General features: G+C 46.8%; 1 protein-coding gene across 38 annotated transcripts in view, besides 9 other annotated features; it reads right to left on the bottom strand.

Annotated features, from left to right (window-relative positions):
* The window catches only part of FNBP1 (formin binding protein 1), a 166693-nt gene that overhangs the window by 146578 nt on the left and 2649 nt on the right, over positions 1 to 17466 (bottom strand). For 35 of the 38 annotated variants that reach the window (NM_001439054.1, NM_001439053.1, NM_001439050.1 and 32 more), the window contains exon 1: positions 9188 to 9425. The exons of the other annotated variants lie outside the window; for them this stretch is intronic. In NM_001439054.1, the coding sequence (NP_001425983.1) occupies positions 9188 to 9211 (24 nt within the window). In that variant the 5' untranslated portion in view covers positions 9212 to 9425. Of the gene's footprint in view, positions 1 to 9187; positions 9426 to 17466 lie in introns of those variants that run through there. 38 annotated transcript variants of the gene reach the window in all.
* Positions 927 to 1427: an enhancer, noted in NCBI's record as "H3K27ac hESC enhancer chr9:132796970-132797470 (GRCh37/hg19 assembly coordinates)". NCBI's record gives its function as "activates a minimal SCP1, AML or CMV promoter by ChIP-STARR-seq in primed H9 embryonic stem cells {active_cell/tissue: H9 hESC(primed)}" and the evidence as "EXISTENCE:reporter gene assay evidence [ECO:0000049][PMID:30033119]".
* Positions 1426 to 1505: an enhancer, noted in NCBI's record as "active region_29147". NCBI's record gives its function as "activates an Ori minimal core promoter by ATAC-STARR-seq in GM12878 lymphoblastoid cells {active_cell/tissue: GM12878}" and the evidence as "EXISTENCE:reporter gene assay evidence [ECO:0000049][PMID:35858748]".
* Positions 1426 to 1928: a biological region, named in NCBI's record as "H3K27ac hESC enhancer GRCh37_chr9:132797471-132797971".
* Positions 1428 to 1928: an enhancer, noted in NCBI's record as "H3K27ac hESC enhancer chr9:132797471-132797971 (GRCh37/hg19 assembly coordinates)". NCBI's record gives its function as "activates a minimal SCP1, AML or CMV promoter by ChIP-STARR-seq in primed H9 embryonic stem cells {active_cell/tissue: H9 hESC(primed)}" and the evidence as "EXISTENCE:reporter gene assay evidence [ECO:0000049][PMID:30033119]".
* Positions 5665 to 5784: an enhancer, noted in NCBI's record as "active region_29148". NCBI's record gives its function as "activates an Ori minimal core promoter by ATAC-STARR-seq in GM12878 lymphoblastoid cells {active_cell/tissue: GM12878}" and the evidence as "EXISTENCE:reporter gene assay evidence [ECO:0000049][PMID:35858748]".
* Positions 6695 to 6744: a silencer, noted in NCBI's record as "silent region_20395". NCBI's record gives its function as "represses an Ori minimal core promoter by ATAC-STARR-seq in GM12878 lymphoblastoid cells {active_cell/tissue: GM12878}" and the evidence as "EXISTENCE:reporter gene assay evidence [ECO:0000049][PMID:35858748]".
* Positions 8788 to 8947: a silencer, noted in NCBI's record as "silent region_20396". NCBI's record gives its function as "represses an Ori minimal core promoter by ATAC-STARR-seq in GM12878 lymphoblastoid cells {active_cell/tissue: GM12878}" and the evidence as "EXISTENCE:reporter gene assay evidence [ECO:0000049][PMID:35858748]".
* Positions 9128 to 9687: a silencer, noted in NCBI's record as "silent region_20397". NCBI's record gives its function as "represses an Ori minimal core promoter by ATAC-STARR-seq in GM12878 lymphoblastoid cells {active_cell/tissue: GM12878}" and the evidence as "EXISTENCE:reporter gene assay evidence [ECO:0000049][PMID:35858748]".
* Positions 15090 to 15590: an enhancer, noted in NCBI's record as "H3K4me1 hESC enhancer chr9:132811133-132811633 (GRCh37/hg19 assembly coordinates)". NCBI's record gives its function as "activates a minimal SCP1, AML or CMV promoter by ChIP-STARR-seq in naive H9 embryonic stem cells {active_cell/tissue: H9 hESC(naive)}" and the evidence as "EXISTENCE:reporter gene assay evidence [ECO:0000049][PMID:30033119]".

Consider the following 17466-nt stretch of genomic DNA (forward strand, 5'->3'; position numbering starts at 1 on the left):
GGCGGATCACGAGGTCAGGAGAGTGAGACCAGCCTGGCTAACACAGTGACTAACATGGTAACCCCGCCTCTACTAAAAATACAAAAAAAAAAAAAAAAAAAATTAGCCAGTCATGGTGGCGGGTGCCTGTAGTCCCAGCTACTCGGGAGGCTGAGGCAGGAGAATGGCATGAACCTGGGAGGCAGAGCTTGCAGTGAGCAGAGATTGCGCCACCGCACTCCAGCCTGGGTGACAGAACAAGACTCTGTCTCAAAAAAAAAAAAAAAAGTTAGACAGGCCAGCTGCGGTGGCTCACACCTGTAATCCCAGCACTTTGGGAGGCCAAGGCAGGTAGATCACGAGGTCAGGAGATCGAGACCATCCTGGCTAACACTGTGAAACCCCGTCTCTACTAAAAATACAAAAAATTAGCCGGGCAAACGCCTGTACTCCCAGCTACTCGGGAGGTTGAAGCAGGAGGATCGCTTGAACTCGGGAGGCGGAGATTGCAGTGAGCTGAGATCACACCACTGCACTCCAGCCTGGGCGACAGAGCAAGACTCCATCTCAAAAAAAAAAAAAAAAACAAGTTGGTCAGGCGTGGTAGTGTACACCTGTGGTCCCAGCTAATCAGGAGGCTGAGGCGAAAGGCTCATTTGGGCCCAGGAGATTGAGGCTGCAGCGAGCCATGTTTGTGCCACTGCACTCCAGCCTGGTCAACAGAGTGAGACTCTGTATTCCTCCTTGTTCTTTCTCAATTTCCTTAAAAATAGTTTTCGCCAAGACATACTTCTGTTGGGCAAATTCAGAAACTTGATACTACTCCTACTAATTAATATCCACACAAATTTATTTAAATTAGAAAAGAGAAACAATAACTGGCTTTGAAAGGATTAGGAGATTACTAGACATCTATGAAGCATCTGCTTGAGTACGAGCTTCATTCATGACTGTTTCTGCTGGCTCTGCAGCATTTAGTGGTGTGAGTCATTGATTCTCAGTGATTCTCAATATGAATAACATCAACTGTTTTATAAAGCAAAATCTACTGCAGTGATGGGGAAATATGAGTGAGTGGTGGGGATAAAGGGAACTGTGCACTACTAACACAGAAGATCCAGTTTTTGGCCAAGTGGCTAATGCCTGTAATCCCAGCTCTTTGGGAGGCCAAGGTGGAAGGATCACTTGAGCCCAGGAGTTCAAGGCCAGCCTGGGCAGCATAGAAAGACCCCGTCTCTACAAAAAAAATACAAAAATTAGCAGAGTGTGGTGACATGTGCCTGTAATCCCAGCTACTTGGGAGGCTGAGGCAGGAGAATCACTTGAACCTAAGAGGCAGAGGTTGCAGTGAGTCGAGATCGTGCCACTGCACCCCAGCCTGGGCAACATGGAGAAGTGGCAAAAAATGACTCGCTGCCCAGCTGCAAGGACTGTGGCTAGCATGCAGCCTCCTTTAGGGTCCACCTCATCTTTTGAGTCGAGGGCATCTCTTCTTGTAGCACCCCCAGCCAATGACTAAGCAAGCTGGCAGCCAAGGCCATCCTCTTCTTGGGACGACCTCTGGCCAATGATAAAGGAAGGCAGAGATACAGAGGCCGAGCCATTTCTGCCAGAGGATTCTTGTGTCTGCTCTGGAGCTCCCCATTGGCCTGGTGGGGACTCTGTCAGGTCTGCATCGTGATCTGATGGCTTCCACTCTTTCCCCTTCACAGGTGTTACTCCCCAGTAAAACTGTACTAATGACTCCATCTAAGCCTCTTCTTCCAGGATATTGGCACAAATGGTAGTTACCTTGCTGGATTCTTGTAACAAATAAACAAGATGATGGATGTAAACACTTTGTCCAGCACCTGGGGCATAGTAGGCACTCAATAAATGGCAGTAATGATAACAATCATTCGAGACTTTAAGATAATAGAGAGGTCAGGCACGGTGGCTCATGCCTGTAATCCCAGCACTTTGGGAGGCCAAGGCGGGTGGATCACCTGAGGTCAGGAGTTTGAGACCAGCCTGGCCAACATGGTGAAATCCCATTTCTACTAAAAACACAAAATTAGCCAGGCGTGGTGGCACACGCCTGTAATCCCAGCTACTCGGGAGGCTGAGGCAGGAGAATCGCTTGAACCCGGGAGGTGGAGGTTGCAGTGAGCTGAGATCGTGCCATTGCACTCCAGCCTGGGCGACAAGAGCGAAACTCCATCTCAAAAAACAAACAAACAAAAACTTACATACCCCCAAATTACTCTCTAATATAATACACATATTTGGCCTCATCATTAAAAAAAAAAGTTTTTTTAACTAAACACATTACTAGGCTCAAGCTAGTATGAGTGTACAAGTAAAACAGGAAACAAATATTCCTTTATAAACACTAATTCCAGAAGACTTCACACCCACATTCTAAAATCTAATTAGATTAATTTCCCAGGGCATTCATGTATTCTTAGTAGCTTTCAATTTTTAAGTGTCAAAATAAAGCCTTATTTTTAAATGTGGGTGGTGTTGATGAAACAAGTATGAGTAATACTTGCAGGAAACATAATATTAGCTTTAGCTGCTTAGTGGGTGATACTTGAATAGTCCTTCAAAGAAGCACTTTCCATGTCTCACCAATGTAAAGCATGAGTTGTAATGTGTTCACATAGTAAGTATAGACACTTATAAAACTCTTTTATGTGCTTAAAGTACAGTTTTGCCTACCAAAATGGCAATTTACACAAATTTTCAGGATTCTGTCTAATGTACAAAGTGAGGGCAACAAAACTGATATCTAAATATCAACTGCAAAATCTCCAGGCCTCCCACGGTTTGTTTTCTTTTAATATCCACTAAACAGAAAAGACATGTGCAAAATTTGTTCTCATGGAGAAGTAAGGATGGCAAAACTAAGTTGATTTTGTTTCTCTTCTGAAGCAGTTCTGCCCTACCCACCATGGTTCAGGGAGTATTATCTCCCCTGTTGGTCTTGCCATGTTCATCCCAAACAGAAATCTCTGAAGGGTTAAGAAAAAGGAGCAGTAGGCCGGGCGCAGTGGCTCACGCCTGTAATCCCAACACTTTGGGAGGCCGAGGCAGGCGGATCACAAGGTCAGGAGATCGAGACCATCCTGGCTAACAAGGTGAAACCCCATCTCTACTAAAAATACAAAAAATTAGCCGGGCGCGGTGGCAGGCGCCTGTAGTCCCAGCTACTCGGGAGGCTGAGGCGGGAGAATGGTGTGAACCTGGGAGGCCGAGCTTGCAGTGAGCCGAAATCACGCCACTGCACTCCAGCCTGGGCAACCCAGCGAGACTCCATCTCAAAAAAAAAAAAAGAAAAAGGAGCAGTAGAGGCCAGGCATGGTGGCTCACACCTGTAATCCCAGCACTTTGGAAGGCAGAGGCAGGCAGATCACTTGAGGTCAGGAGTTTGAGACCAGCCTGGTCAACGTGGTGAAACCCCATCTCTAGTATGAAAAATACAAAAATTGGCAGGGCATGGTGGTGGGGGCCTGCAGCTACTCAGGAGGCTGAGGCATGAGAATCACTTGAACCTGGGAGGCAGAAGTTGCAGTGAGCTGAGATCGCGCCACTGCACGCCAGCCTGGGTGACTGAGCAAAACTCCATCTCGAAAAAGAAAAAAGAAAAAAGAGCAGTAGAAGAGCTAGGGACGATTGTTAATAGGGTTCTCCAATTTAGCATTCAAGGGCAGTAAGAAGAGGTAATAATTATCCAATACCTGGAACTGTTAATAATTTGTTACTTTAAGATTAAAAAACTAGTTTAAAATTTCGACACACTAGGGAAAAAAATTCAACACACTATAAAGTGTTCTTATATAAAGATATGTACACATATCATGCCTAAGTAGAATGAACAACAGAGAAGGGATAATTTTTCAAACCCTACTTTAAAGGCAAAAAAGGTACTTAGACTGTGTGTATTTGGGGGCAGAAAGGATATGGAAAATCTCTGTACCTTCTCAATTTTGCTATGAACCGAAACTGCTCTAAAAAATAGTCTATTTTCCAAAAAGATACCTAAAATTATATATATATTTTACAACTGCCGAAGTGCAGAAAGGTGTTATAATTATCTTCCCATTATTTTTAAAAAGCAAATGTTAAAACAAAAGGAAAAAAAGGGATTTATTCATTTATCCAATAAATATTTATTGAACTCCTACACAGAGTCAGGCATTGTTCCCAGTACAGTTGGTAGACAATCCTCAAACGGCTGCCTCTTGAAAGTGCACACCACGATCAGGGTCAACATATTCAACAGATGAATGTATATTATATGCCTGGCATGGTTCTAAAAATCACAGGTAAAAAAAATTACATACAGTCGGCCGGGCGCGGTGGCTCACGCCTGTAATCCCAGCACTTTGGGAGGCCGACGTGGGCAGATCACGAGGTCAGGAAATCGAGACCATCCTGGCTAACACAGTGAAACCCTGTCTCTACTAAAAATACAAAAAAATTAGCCGGGCGTGGTGGCGGGCGCCTGTAGTCCCAGCTACTCCGGAGGCTGAGGCTGGAGAATGGCGTCAACCCGGGAGGCGGAGCTTGCAGTGAGCAGAGATCGTGCGACCCACTGCACTCCAGCCTGGGCGACAGAGTGAGACTCCGTCTCAAAAAAAAAAAAAAAAGACATACAATCAACACAGGTGGCTCTTTTTTTTTTTTTTTTTTGAGACAGAGTCGCTCTGTCGCCCAGGGCGGAGTGCAATGGCGCCATCTCGGCTCACTGCAACCTCCGCCTCCCGGGTTCAAGCGATTCTCCGCCTCAGCCTCCCGAGTAGCTGGGATTACCTGCGTGGACCACCACGCCCGGCTAATTTTTGTATTTTTAGTAGAGATGGGGTTTCACCATCTTGGTCCGGCTGGTCTCAAACTCCTGATGTCGTGATCTGCCCGCCTTGGCCTCCCAAAGTTCTGGGATTACAGGCGTCAGCCACCCACCGCGCCCAGCCCACATGTGGCTTCTTACTATGCTAACCAATATGCATTATTCAGGTTTCTCTGTTCTCTTTCTTGTACATACTTCATTTCTCATTAGCACCAGAGCAAATAAATAAAGACAGAGAGGATACTAGGAGGCAGCAAAACCAGGTTCTGTCACTGAATAATTTGTTAGCTGCAAAGAGAATAATTACGAGGAAGGCTTAATTTTCCAATGGATTTATTCATACTTCACACTAATAAGCAAGCTAATAAAAAGCTGAACTAACACTTCAGTAACCTGTCACTTCCCTCAGTAAGTAGGCAAGAAAAAAAAAACATTCAAATGTAAGCAACTCTTGCTTTGCCATTTCTCCAACAACCAGCCACAACTTCAACAAGTCAGTGAACATATTTACCTTACTAACACTGCCTTTTTAACAAGTCTTGAGTAAATGTATTTTGGTTAATTTTACATACAAACATTTTTCTTTTGACTCTGATGTTACAAGCTAGAGGTAAAACCTACTTTCTATGCTTCCACGTAGATATCTTTCAATGTATATAATGTAACTTACAACAGATTCAGACTGGTGTCTTGTGCACACCATAGTTGTTCAATAAAAATTTTGAAAATTGATTAAAAGGCAATGTTATGAAGAGCTATGTTATGAAGAGTTGTAAACTATTTTATTAGAACCCAATCACTTCAAAATGGCCATGTAAGCCTGGGCGAGGTAGCTCGCGCCTGTAATCCCAGCACTTTGGGAGGCCGAGGCGGGCAGATCACTTGAGGTCAGGAGTTCGAGACCAGCCTGGCCAACATGGTGAAACCCCATCTCTACTAAAAATAGAAAAAATTAGCCAGGTGTGATAATGCACACCTGTAGTCCCAGCTACTCAGGAGGCTAAGGCAAGAGAATCACTAGAACCTGGGAAGTGAAAGTTGCAGTGAGCCAAGATCGTGACAGTGCACTCCAGCCTGGGCAACAAGAGCGAAGCTTTGTCTCAAAAAAAAAAAAAAAAAGAAAGTTTATTTCTATGGAGGGGTTAAAGAAAAAGTAAAAAAGAAAGAGGAAGAGAAAGGTTTTACTCCCTCTACAAAGCAGGATGTGGCTTAGGAGCAGGTCTTCAGTGTAAAATGCACATTAGAAACCTGTAGTTTCTAAAAGCCTATATTGATTTTAACCTGAAGTCCTAAAATGTATGTAAAATCTGATAGTATTTGTGAAGGTCCCTGAAAGCTGCAACCACCTGTTACAAATAATTCATGGCCACCCAAACCATAGCTCTTTCTCCATCTAGAAGAATAATTCTGCCAAGTTTGGCTTGAGCGCCCCATCATTATCTCATTATACATGTGCATGATTCCAAAGCCACCATTCAAGGAAAACCCTTAATCACTGCCCTCCGCTGGGCTACCCAATGTACCGCACATCACCAAGTCTCTGACCACCGGAGAAACTGGGGTTTACTTTTCATAATCCTTCATTATTCTAGTTTTTTTAAATCTCAAAAGCTACTAAGCCTTATACATCTTTGCATTTCACCTGAAAACTTAGATTTTGCATTTCTCTTAGTAGCACAATCATGTGTTCATTCCTTTTCCTATATTAAACTGTAAGCTACTCAAAGGCAAATGCTGGTACTCATAAGAATGTCTTTTTTAACGTCAAGCGTGGTGGCTCACGCCTGCGATCCCAGCACTTTGGGAGGCTGAGGCAGGCGGATTACCTGACATCAGGAGTTTGAGACCAGCCTGGCCAACACGGCGAAACCCCGTCTCTACTAAATACACAAAAAAATTAGCTGGGCATGGTGGCAGGCGCGTGTAGTCCCAGCTACTTGGGAGGCTGAGGCAGGAGAATCGTTTGAACCTGGGAGGCAGAGGCTGCAGTGAGCCGAGATCACGCCACTGCACGCCAGCCTGGGCAGGCAACAGAGCAAGACTCCGTCTCAGAAAAAAAAAAAAAAAGAATGTCTTTTTAAAAACTCCTCATTGCCATACACTTGCATATATAGAACTGTTAACTGATTCATTCTTCCTCATAAAATTGTCAAGTGAAAAAATTACAAATAGTTCACATCCTTCTCCTTTAAAACTATTTTCCAATTATTTTTATTGTAGAAAATGTCAAATATATATACTAGAAAGAATAGTGTAATGAATACTTCTGTACTCAGCATTTGGCTTCAATAATGGCCAACTCTGTCTCACTATCTCCCATCTACTAACAACCCAAATTATTGTGAAGCAAATATAAGATTTCATATCATTAATATTTGTATATATTCCAGTTCCCATTTATTATTTTTTTCTTTTTTCTTTTTTCTTTTCTTTTTTTTTTTTTTAAGAGGAGGCCTCTCCAGATATTCCCCAAGCTGTTCTTGAACTCCTGGGCCCAAAAGATCCTCCCGACTCAGCCTCCCAAGGTGCTGGCAATATAGGCCTGAGCCACTGCGCCCGGCCTCTCTCATTTATTTTCAATCACTCCTAACCCTGCCTTCCTTCCCACTTCTGCACCCTCAAAAAGAAATGTACAGAATAATGCAAGCAATTGCCGCTGTTTTAGCAGTTTTGCTCATAGCCACTGCCTCTCTTTGGAATTATATTCTATCCCATTCACCAACATCACTGAACTGTCCACCAAGGTATTGTGTTCGGTCCCTATTTCACTCAGAAATATATTGTACATTTTCCCTCCATAATTCCATCCACCTGTCTGAACAAGTGAAAAAAAAATTGTGCCACAATTTCTACTGTCTTGACAAAGATTACTTCTGATTTGCTTCCCCACCCCAGATAAGCTAAAGAGAGCTAAAGGGAGTGGAAGGATTAGAAGAGGAAAGAAACTTCAATACGGTACTCAAAGTCATAGATTTTGCCTAAACTGGTGTGTGCAAATATTTTAAACTATTTTATTTTCAAAATGGATACTTGTAAACATCAGCGGAAATTTTGTCATGAATCCCTTTTAGGCAGAAGATGTTTATAAAATGAATTATCTTAATTTAAGGGAGCTATTGCCCTCAGGATTTTGGTAATAACAACCGTAGCTGCTTCTGTACCTAACAAATGGTTATGTAAAAACAATTAAAGCAAAAGAAAACAAAACAAAAAACAAGGGAGGATGTGCTCTGTTTCTGTAATTGCTCTAACCTTGTTTTATTTTGATATGAGATTTCTTGGCCTCATCTCAGATAGCAACACCACCCTACACTTTCTCCTCCACACCCTTTGCAAATAGAATTCCAAAAGGTAGTTCAGGCACTTTAGAGTTCATCCTGGGAAATGGCTCATCTTGAGGGCATTTCAGTGCAGTAACTGAGATTTCGTCTGCTCCTTCCCGGGCCGCCGCACTGCCCATCCCCTGCCCAGTGATTTCCCCAGGAATCCGGGGACGGCAGGAAAAGAGCTCCATCCACAGCCAGCCCCTCGCCTTTCCGGGGACGGCCCTCAGCCCTGAGGGCTGCCCGTTTACCGTGCGCATCCCCCGGCCAAGCATCCCCGCAAGGCGCCCCTCACCGCCAACTTTCCCCACTGGAAACTATTCTCCGAGCAACCGTTAAAGATCATTGACCCCGCGAACGCCTCTTCCTGAGGTAGATCACGTAAGATCTCTCCCTAACTCCCACTTTCCCCTCCAGACCAGACGTCGCAGTGCCCACATCCCACTCAGGATTGAGCTACCCCGAAAGAACAAGTGCGCCCGGAGCCGCCACGGGCCAGAAGTCCTCGCCTCCAGAGCGAAGACCGCACTCTCGCCCCAGCACCCCAAAACCCGACCCCCGGCGCTCGCCCCGGCCGCCCCGCTCCCGGGGAAGTGCCCGATCCGCCAGCGCCTCCGCGGAGCCAGGACAGAACTCGCGGCCGGGGCGCCCCGAGACCCAACGCAGCGCCGCGCAGCCGGGGCCTCCACGCCCCCACGCCCGGTCCCGGCCCTCCCCGGGCATCCGCGGCTCGCCCCGGGGGATTAGGGCTCGGCCCGACACACACGGCCCGCTCCGGGGCGCCGGGGACAGGGAGGCCCGCCCGCGCCGTTCCTCAGGCCGCCGGGGACCCGCACCAACTCCCCTCGCCTCCGAAGGACAAGCCGGCCCGCACCTCCTGCTCGGGCCAAGGCGGACGAGGGGCATTGGAACCCCGCCTCCTCCCCAGGCCGCGAGGACCCCGACCAGCGCGCCCTCGCCTCCGCCCAGCAGCGCGGCCCGCGCCCCCTCCCCAGGCCGCGGGGAAACGCAGCGCGCGCCCCGCATCTGCCCGCGGGCCCAGCCCCTCACTCACCCAGAGCTCGGTGCCCCAGCTCATGGTGCAGGGGACGCGAAGGGGCGCTCCGCGCGGCGGGCGCGGCTCTCTGGTCCCCCTCCCCGGCGATCCCTTTGCCCCCCGAGATCCCCGCGACGGCGGAAAGCCCGGAGTCCGCGCGGCCTCCTCCGGCTCGCAGCTCCTCGCCCGGGGTCTCCTCGGCGGCTCCTCCTCCCCGCCGCTCCACAGCAAAATGGCCCGAGGAAGCAGCAGCCGCGGCCGCCGCAGCGCCCGCCCGCCCTACACCCGGAGAGCGGGGGAGGGGCGGGAGGGGAGGGGCGGGGCCGGTCTGACAGCTCGCGCACGCGCGCCCGCCCCACCCCGGCCCGGCCCCCTCCCCCGGGCTCCCCCGGCCGGGTCCGCGTCGCCCTGGGGTCCGGAAGGACGCGGAGGGAGGTGTGAGGGACGGCGGGACCCGGATCCCTAGGACTCCCCCTGCCAATCTGGTAATGACTTCTTAGTGACCACTGTCTGCTCGCAGTACTAGCGCTTGCCTTGGAACGCGGCAGGCCCTGGGATCACCGATGCTCCGCCGCGGTCTGAGATCGCTCCCCTGCGCGTATCGCCGCTCTGGATTTAAGGACAATACTTTCCCCTGGCAGCCATGCGCGCCGAGCAGAGTCAGCCCGGGAGGCTCTTTTCCCACCGCCCGAGGGAAGCCCGAGAGTCCCGCAGGCTGGCGCGGTGGGAGTGGGGCGGTGGTAACTGCGCGCTGTGCGAATAGAGACGTCGAGGCAAGCGCGACGGCCTCGAGTGGCTAGGGAAAGAATCCAGGGGCGTGCACCCAGTGATTTCCAATCTCTGAAACCAGTGATTTCCAACTTGTTCAGCCAAGAAACTCTCAGGCGTGAAATCACGTTACCGCCTAGTGGGTAAAAGCAAAGGCGTGGGGTACACAGATAACTTGTTTGGTTCAAATCCAGCCTCCCGCACGTGCTGGCCGGGCGGAGGCGGACAATTGCTCCACCTCTGGAAGCGCAGAGCGCAGTCCACCAAATGGAGGCAAATAACGTGTCCATCTCACTGCCCGGCGGTGAGGATCAGGGGTGGGCCAAGGCCGAAGGTTGGTAAACCCAGCGCTCATTTTATCAGCAGACGGACTCCCTCTCTATATATCCAAAGGTCTGCACAAATGTTCCTGACAAGCTATGGAAAATGTTTGGAATTCCAACTCCTGAATCACTAGCCCTTTCCCCACAGCTTATCTTTCTCCCTCGGTTAATGCTACTACTGGATCCTTTTCTGAGAAACCGTGCGACTCCCAACATGGGCCCCCAGTTAAAAAATATTTTACGATGATGCATTTCTCCAATCCCACCCCACCATTTTCAACCTGCTTATCATTCTCCTCCATTAAAAGGTGGAGCTAACCCGGGTCTGGTGGCTCACGCCTGTAATCCCAGCACATCAGGAGGCCCAGGTGGGAGGATGGCTGGAGGCCAGGAATTTGAGACCAGCCTGGGCAACATCGCAAGACCCTGTCTCTACAAAAAGAAAAAAAAAAAAGTTAGCTGGGCATGGTGGCATGCACCTGTGGTCCCAGCTACTTGGGAGACTGAGACAGGAGGATCGCTTGAGCCTAGAAGGTTGAAGTTGCAGTGAGCCATGATGGTGCCATTGCCCTCCAGCTTGAGCAACAGAGCAAGACCCTGTCTCAAAAATATTAACAATAATGAATTAAAGCCGGGCATGGTGGCTCACGCCTGTAATCCCAACACTTTGGGAGGCAGAAGTGAGTGGATCATCTGAGGTCAGGAGTTTGAGAGCAGCCTGGCCAACATGGAGAAACCCCGTCTCTACTAAAAACACAAAAGTTAGCTGGGCGTGGTGACAGGGCGCCTGTAATCCCAGCTACTCAGGAGGCTGAGGCAAGAGAATCGCTTGAACCCGGGAGGCAGAAGTTGGAGTGAGCCAAGATTGTGCCACTGCACTCCAGCCTGGGTGACAGAGCGAGACTGTCTCAAAAAATAAAATAAAATGAATAATAATAATAAATTAAGAGGTGGAGCTACTAAACAAAAAACAAAACAAAAAAAAACCTCTTGCAGATAAACCTCCAACTCTACTTCCTTTGTTGGGCAGTTACAATAAATTTAAGTTGTCAAAACTGTTTTGGTCTGCCTTTTTTCAGTTACAACCCTCCCTTCCTGCCCACCCCCATTCTTGTGTCTGTATAAATATTTTGCTCTCAGTTACCAGGTCTGAATTCTCTTTCCTCCAGAGACTGCTAGATATATAACAATGAGAACGGCCAGCTACCTATCTCCTAAGGCAGATTAATAGCCAGAGTGAGTTGGAGGGGGAAATTCAAACAATGCTGCACAGTTTAGTCTGCTAAAATTTGGAAACGGTACATGCAATGCAGGTTTATCTAACAAGACATTGCCTCAGTAATCACCTTCCTGCCAGGGCTTGACTTTTTAGTCAAATACAATGATCTAATCTTGACCAAGTTATTGGAGACTTCTCAAAAACAGTGACCACTTGTGAAAATACTCTAATCAAGAAGTAAAACAACCTGCTGCTTTAAAGAGGAGAAAGAGGAAGAGGAAGGGACAGCAGAAGAAAAAAAGAGACCACATGAAGATGAAACTTTTTAAGACGAGTAAGCAGGAGATTGTTAGTTATAGGAAGGAACCCATTAAAAGCTGCCGCAGAACTCTATGGATGTGAGTTAATTATACAACACTGCAAATATCTTTAACTTCATTAAGCTTTGGCAGTAACTGGAAAATGCTTGAAAGTGTCAGAATCTTCAAAAAATAAAGGAGAGAGACACCAATGATCATGAAGCCATGAGATAAAATGAAATAAGCCAGCAGAAAAAAGGCTAAAATATAGCACAGCATTTTTTAGGAAGAACTAAATCCATTTCAGTTTCCCTTCAGAGCAGGAGGAAGTGATTCTAAGACAAGGAAGTATCCCCATTAACAAACTACTGTGACCTGACCTACTTAGGAATCAGTTTTCACCAGGGGTACTCTAAACTCTATGTAAACGCTGATATTATCTAGGGGGTTAATCTGGGTTGCAGATACTGGTTTCACCTCTCAGTAAAATCTAGGGAACACTGATTTACAAAATTATGATCTTGGTGTGATATTACAAAATATATATTTTGTCGTCAACCTTGTTTCCTGAAGTATAGCTCCTAAAATCCTTAAAAACCCCAAAATGATGTCTTTTTATATACTAATGAGATGACTGATGGCTGACAGTCCCTAAGTATTAGTACCTCAAGATGGGACTGGTCACCATAAAGACCAAGACAAGATTAGAGGTGTGGGACTTTTATCTGCACCCACACTGTCACTCCAACCTCCGGGGACTGGGGAGAGGCGCTGAAAGTTAAGTTGTTCAGTAATGGTCAATAGCTTAATCAATCATGACTACATAAAATAAAGCCTCTATTAAAACTCCAAAAAACAAAGTTCTGAGAACTTCCAGATAGCTAAACACATAAAAGTCCCTAGAGAGTTGGCCGGACGTGGTGGCTCACGCCTGTAATCCCAGCACTTTGGGAGGCAGAGGCAGGCAGATCATCCGAGGTCAGGAGTTTGAGACCAGCCTAGCCAACATAGTGAAAGCCCTGTCTCTACTAAAAATACAAAAAAAAAAAAAAAAAAAAAAAACACCAAAAAAAAAATTAGCCCAGTGTGGTCATGGGTGCCTGTAATCCCAGCTGCTTGGGAGACTGAGGCAAGAGAATCGCTTGAACCCAGGAGGCGGAGGGTGCGGTGAGCTAAGATCGCGCCACTACACTCCAGCCACTGTACTCCGGCAACAGAGTGAGACTTTATCTCAAAAAAAAAAAAAAAAAAAAAGTTCCTAGAGGGTGGCATGCCCAGAGAGGGCACAGAAGTTCCACTCTCCTTCCCCCGTACTCCATATATCTCTTCATCTATATCCTTTATAATAAACATGTTTCCCTAGGTTCTGTGAGGCACTGTAACAAATTAAACCCAAAAAGGAGGACTTGAGATTTCTGATTTATAAACAGTTCGTCAAAAAAGACAGATCACATAACCTAAAACTTAAGATTGACACCTACTTGGGGTGGGGGGCAGTCTTGAGGACCAAGCCCTCAATTTGTGATATCTGACACTATCTCCAGGTATATGGTGGCTGAGGCAGGTGAAGTGCGAGGCTGCAGTGGGCCGTGATTGCACCATTAGACTATGGCCAGGGTGACAGCAAGACCCAGTCTCTAAAAAAAAATAAAAATTAAAAGAACACTAAATTAAAGGACACTCAGCTGATGTCCACTACAAAATTAATTACTTGGTTGGTGGTGGGAAGAAATCCCAACACGTTTGGTCACAAAAGTCCCCTATGTGAATTATTAAGTAAAAAACAAAACAGCTGGGCGCAGTGGTTCACACCTGTAATCCCAGCACTTTGGGAGGCCGAGGAGGATGGATCATGAGGTCAGGAGTTCAAGACCAGCCTGGCCGACATAGTGAAACTCTGTCTCTACTAAAAATACAAAAATTAGCTGGGCATGGTGGCGCACGCCTGTAGTCCCAGCTACTCGGGAGGCTATGGCAGGAGAATCGCGTGAACCTGGGAGGTGGAGGTTGTGGTGATCCAAGATCGCACCACTGCACTCTAGCCTGGGCAACAGAGCGAGACTCCATCTCGAAAACAAAAAGAAAAACAAAAAACCCTGTAAGTTTATGTTTTTTTTTTTCCTACTCTCAGTGGGGGACTCAAACATGTTCCACTGAATAATCTGATCACATGGACAGTATTAGCAACGAAATAAGGTATCCGGTCAAACAGAACAGAGACCCTGTATAGATGGCTGTGTGGTTAGAGGCAAACAATTGTATTAGGGCTTTTTGGCAATTCTAACCCTGCTTGCAACTAATAAACATCTAATTCGGGATCTTAGGTGGACAGATATTTATATAGCTGTAGATAGATATGAGATTTTAAAGCAGATAGGGTTTTGAAATTGTTAAATTGGGATCCCAGTGTTCCACTACTTATTAGTTGTGTGGCCTTCTGCAAGTTACTTACATTATCTGAGCTTCAGTTTACTCATTGAGAAGACAGGGATCTTGGCCAGACGCAGTGGCTCACGCCTGTAATCCCAACACTTTAGGAGGCCGAGGCAGGCGGATCGCTTGAGCCCATGAGTTCAAGACCAGCCTGGGCAACATGGCAAAAACCCATGTCTACTAAAAATACAAAAAAATTAGGTGTGGTGGTGTGCCTGTAATCCCAGCTACTCAGAAGGCTGAGGCAGGAGAATCGCTTGAACCCAGGAGGCAGAGGTTGTAGTGAGCCGCGATCGCGCCACTTCACTCCAGCCTGGCGACAGAGCAAGACTCCATCTCAAAAAAAAAAAAAAAAAAAAAAAAAAAAGACAGGGATCTCATAGGTTGTCATTAGTCTGAAATGAAGGAACTGGGGTTGAGTACAGTCTTTGGTGTTAGCCAGATTTGTATAGTTCTGTCCAGACAGCTATAGAGAGCTTTGGCTGAATTACTTTCCTTCTCTAAGCCTCAGTTTCCTTTTTTTTTTTTTTGAGACGGAGTCTCGCTCTGTCGCAGTGCAGTGGCGCGATCTCAGCTCACTGCAAGCTCCGTCTCCAGGGTTCACATCATTCTCCTGCCTCAGCCTCCCAAGTAGCTGGGACTACAGGCGCCCGCCATCACGCCCGGCTAATTTTTTGTACATTTAGTAGAGACGGGGTTTCACCATGTTAGCCAGGATGGTCTCGATCTCCTGACCTCGTGATCCACCCGCCTCGTCCTCCCAAAGTGCTGGGATTACAGGCGTGAGCCACCGCGCCCGGCCCAGTTTCCTCTTTTTTTTTTGAGATAAGAGTCTGGCTCTGTCGCCCAGGCTGGAGTGCAGTGGCGCCATCTCCGCTCACTGCAAGCTCCGCCTCCTGGGTTCAAGCCATTCTCCTGCCTCAGCCTCCCGAGTAGCTGGGACTACAGGCGCCCGCCACCATGCCTGGCTAGTATTTTGTATTTTTAGTAGAGACGGGGTTTCACCGTGTTAGCCAGGATGGTCTCATCTCCTGACCTCGTGATCCGCCCGCCTCGGCCTCCCAAAGTGCTGGGATTACAGGCATGAGCCACCACTCCCGGCCAGTTTCCTCTTCTTTAAAATGTAAATATGGCCATGCACAGTGGCTCATGCCTGTAATCCCAACACTTTGGGAGGCCAAGCCAGGCAGATCGCTTGAGACCAGGCATTCAAGACCAGTTTGAGCAACATGGAAAAACCTGGTGTCCACAAAAAATAAAAAAATTTGCCAAGCACAGTGGTGCACAACTGTAATCCCAGCTACCCGGGAGGCTGAGGTGGGACGATTGCTTGAGCCTGGTAAATTGAGGCTGCAGTGAGCCTTGATCATGCCACTGCACTCCTGAGAGCGAGACCCTGTCTCAAAAATCAAAAAATAAAATAGAAATAATGCTACTTCAAAGGTTATTGTAAAGGTTGAAAGAAAGGTGGCTTATGCCTATAATCCCAGCACTTTGGGAGGTGAAGGTTGGAGGACTGTTTGAGCCCAGGAGATTTAGACCAGCCTGGGCAACATGGCGAAACCGTCTCCACAAAAAAATACAAAAATTAGCCCGGCACGGTTGTGCTTAGCTACTTGGGGGCTTGAGGCAGTAGGATCGCTTGAGCCTGGGAGTTGGAAGCTGCAGTGAGCCGTGATTGCACCACCGCACTCCAGCCCGGGAAACAAAGTAAGACTCTGTCTCAAAAAAAAATAAAAATAAAAATAAAAATTAAAAGAAAGAATACGTATAAAATGTTTAGCACATAATATACACACAAGTATCAGTTCCCTTTCCTTTCCTCCTGTTTTCTGGAGGATTTTTACTTATTGTAGAAAATAAAGCAATCCTTTCAGCATTTTCTTTTTTTGTGTGTGTTTTGTGTTTTGTTTTTGTTTTTAGAGAGGTCTTGCTCTGTTGCCCAGACTGGAGTGCAGTGGCATGATCATAGCTCACTGCAGCCTTGAATTCCTGGATTCAAACCATCTTCCCCAGTAGCTGGGAATACAGGCCTTTAAACATTTCTGATGCAGCAGGACCGCCTGCCTGAACTTACAGTTGATTGGTTGTCTACTGGTGAAGAACTACTTCTAATGAAATTCTCAGGATTTTTTCTTCTTCAAAATTACTTGTTTTTAGCTTAAAATTTCCAACTTCTTTTGCATTCGAACTACTTACTAGGGACTCAAGAAAGCAATCAACTGGAAAAAGTGGAGTAGGATAAAACCAGGAACTCCATGGTGAGTGAAATGCTAAAACTGCAATGAATTTTTACAACGAATAATCCAATTCCCCTGTAAAGATGTACATAAAATCAAGAAAGACTGCCTGTCCTGTGGCTGAGCAAGTTATACACTAGGGTCGTCAGGTTGAGGAGTAATTTTGAAGTTTCTCTCCAATCCACAGGACTCAAAGTGTGTCAGAGCCTGGCTTTTCCATGATCACTTTCTACAAAAAGATGCACTTGGAGGCATTCCCGACACCCCAAGAAATGCATGAAAACTTTAGCTGCAATCCTGGAAGAAATGGTGTTTCAAGCCAAAGAATGAAAAGTAGCATTTGACTTCTGAATGTATTGCTAGGCCCCAATTTGACCACTAGTTTCCTATACTGTCTTAACAGAGGCTTTTGGTTTGCAATATCAATCAACTCTTTTTTTTTTTTTATTTGACAGGGTCTTGCTCTGTCACCCAAGCTGGATAAAAGTGTCATGGCTTACTCCAGTGTTGACTCCTGGGCTCAAGCAATCCTACCACCTCTCTGCCTCCTGAGTAGCTGGGACTACAGGTGCGTGTCACCATGCCCGCTAATTTTTGTGTTTTTTTTTTGTTTTTTTGTTTTTGTTTTTGAGACAGAGTCTTGCTCTGTCGCACAGGCTGGAGTGAATTGGTGCAATCATGCTCGCTAATTTTTTTTTTTTTTGAGACAGAATCTCGCTCTGTCACACAGGCTGGAGTGCAATGGTACAATCTGGGCTCACTGTAACCTCCGCTTCCCAAGTTCAAGCGATTCTCCTGTCTCAGCCTCCTGAGTAGCTGGGATTACAGGCATGCGCCACCATGCCTGGCTAATTTTTGTATTTTTAGTAGAGATGGGGTTTTGCCATGTTAGCTAGGCTGGTCTCAGACTCCTGGCCTCAGGTGATCCACTGACCTCAGCCTCCCAAAGTGCTGAGATTACAGGCCTGAGCCACCGCCCCTGGCCTAATTTTTGTATTTTTTGTAGAGAAGGTGT

The sequence above is a fragment of the Homo sapiens genome, chromosome 9 (genome assembly GCF_000001405.40).
Source record: "Homo sapiens chromosome 9, GRCh38.p14 Primary Assembly".
Taxonomy (NCBI): domain Eukaryota; kingdom Metazoa; phylum Chordata; class Mammalia; order Primates; family Hominidae; genus Homo; species Homo sapiens.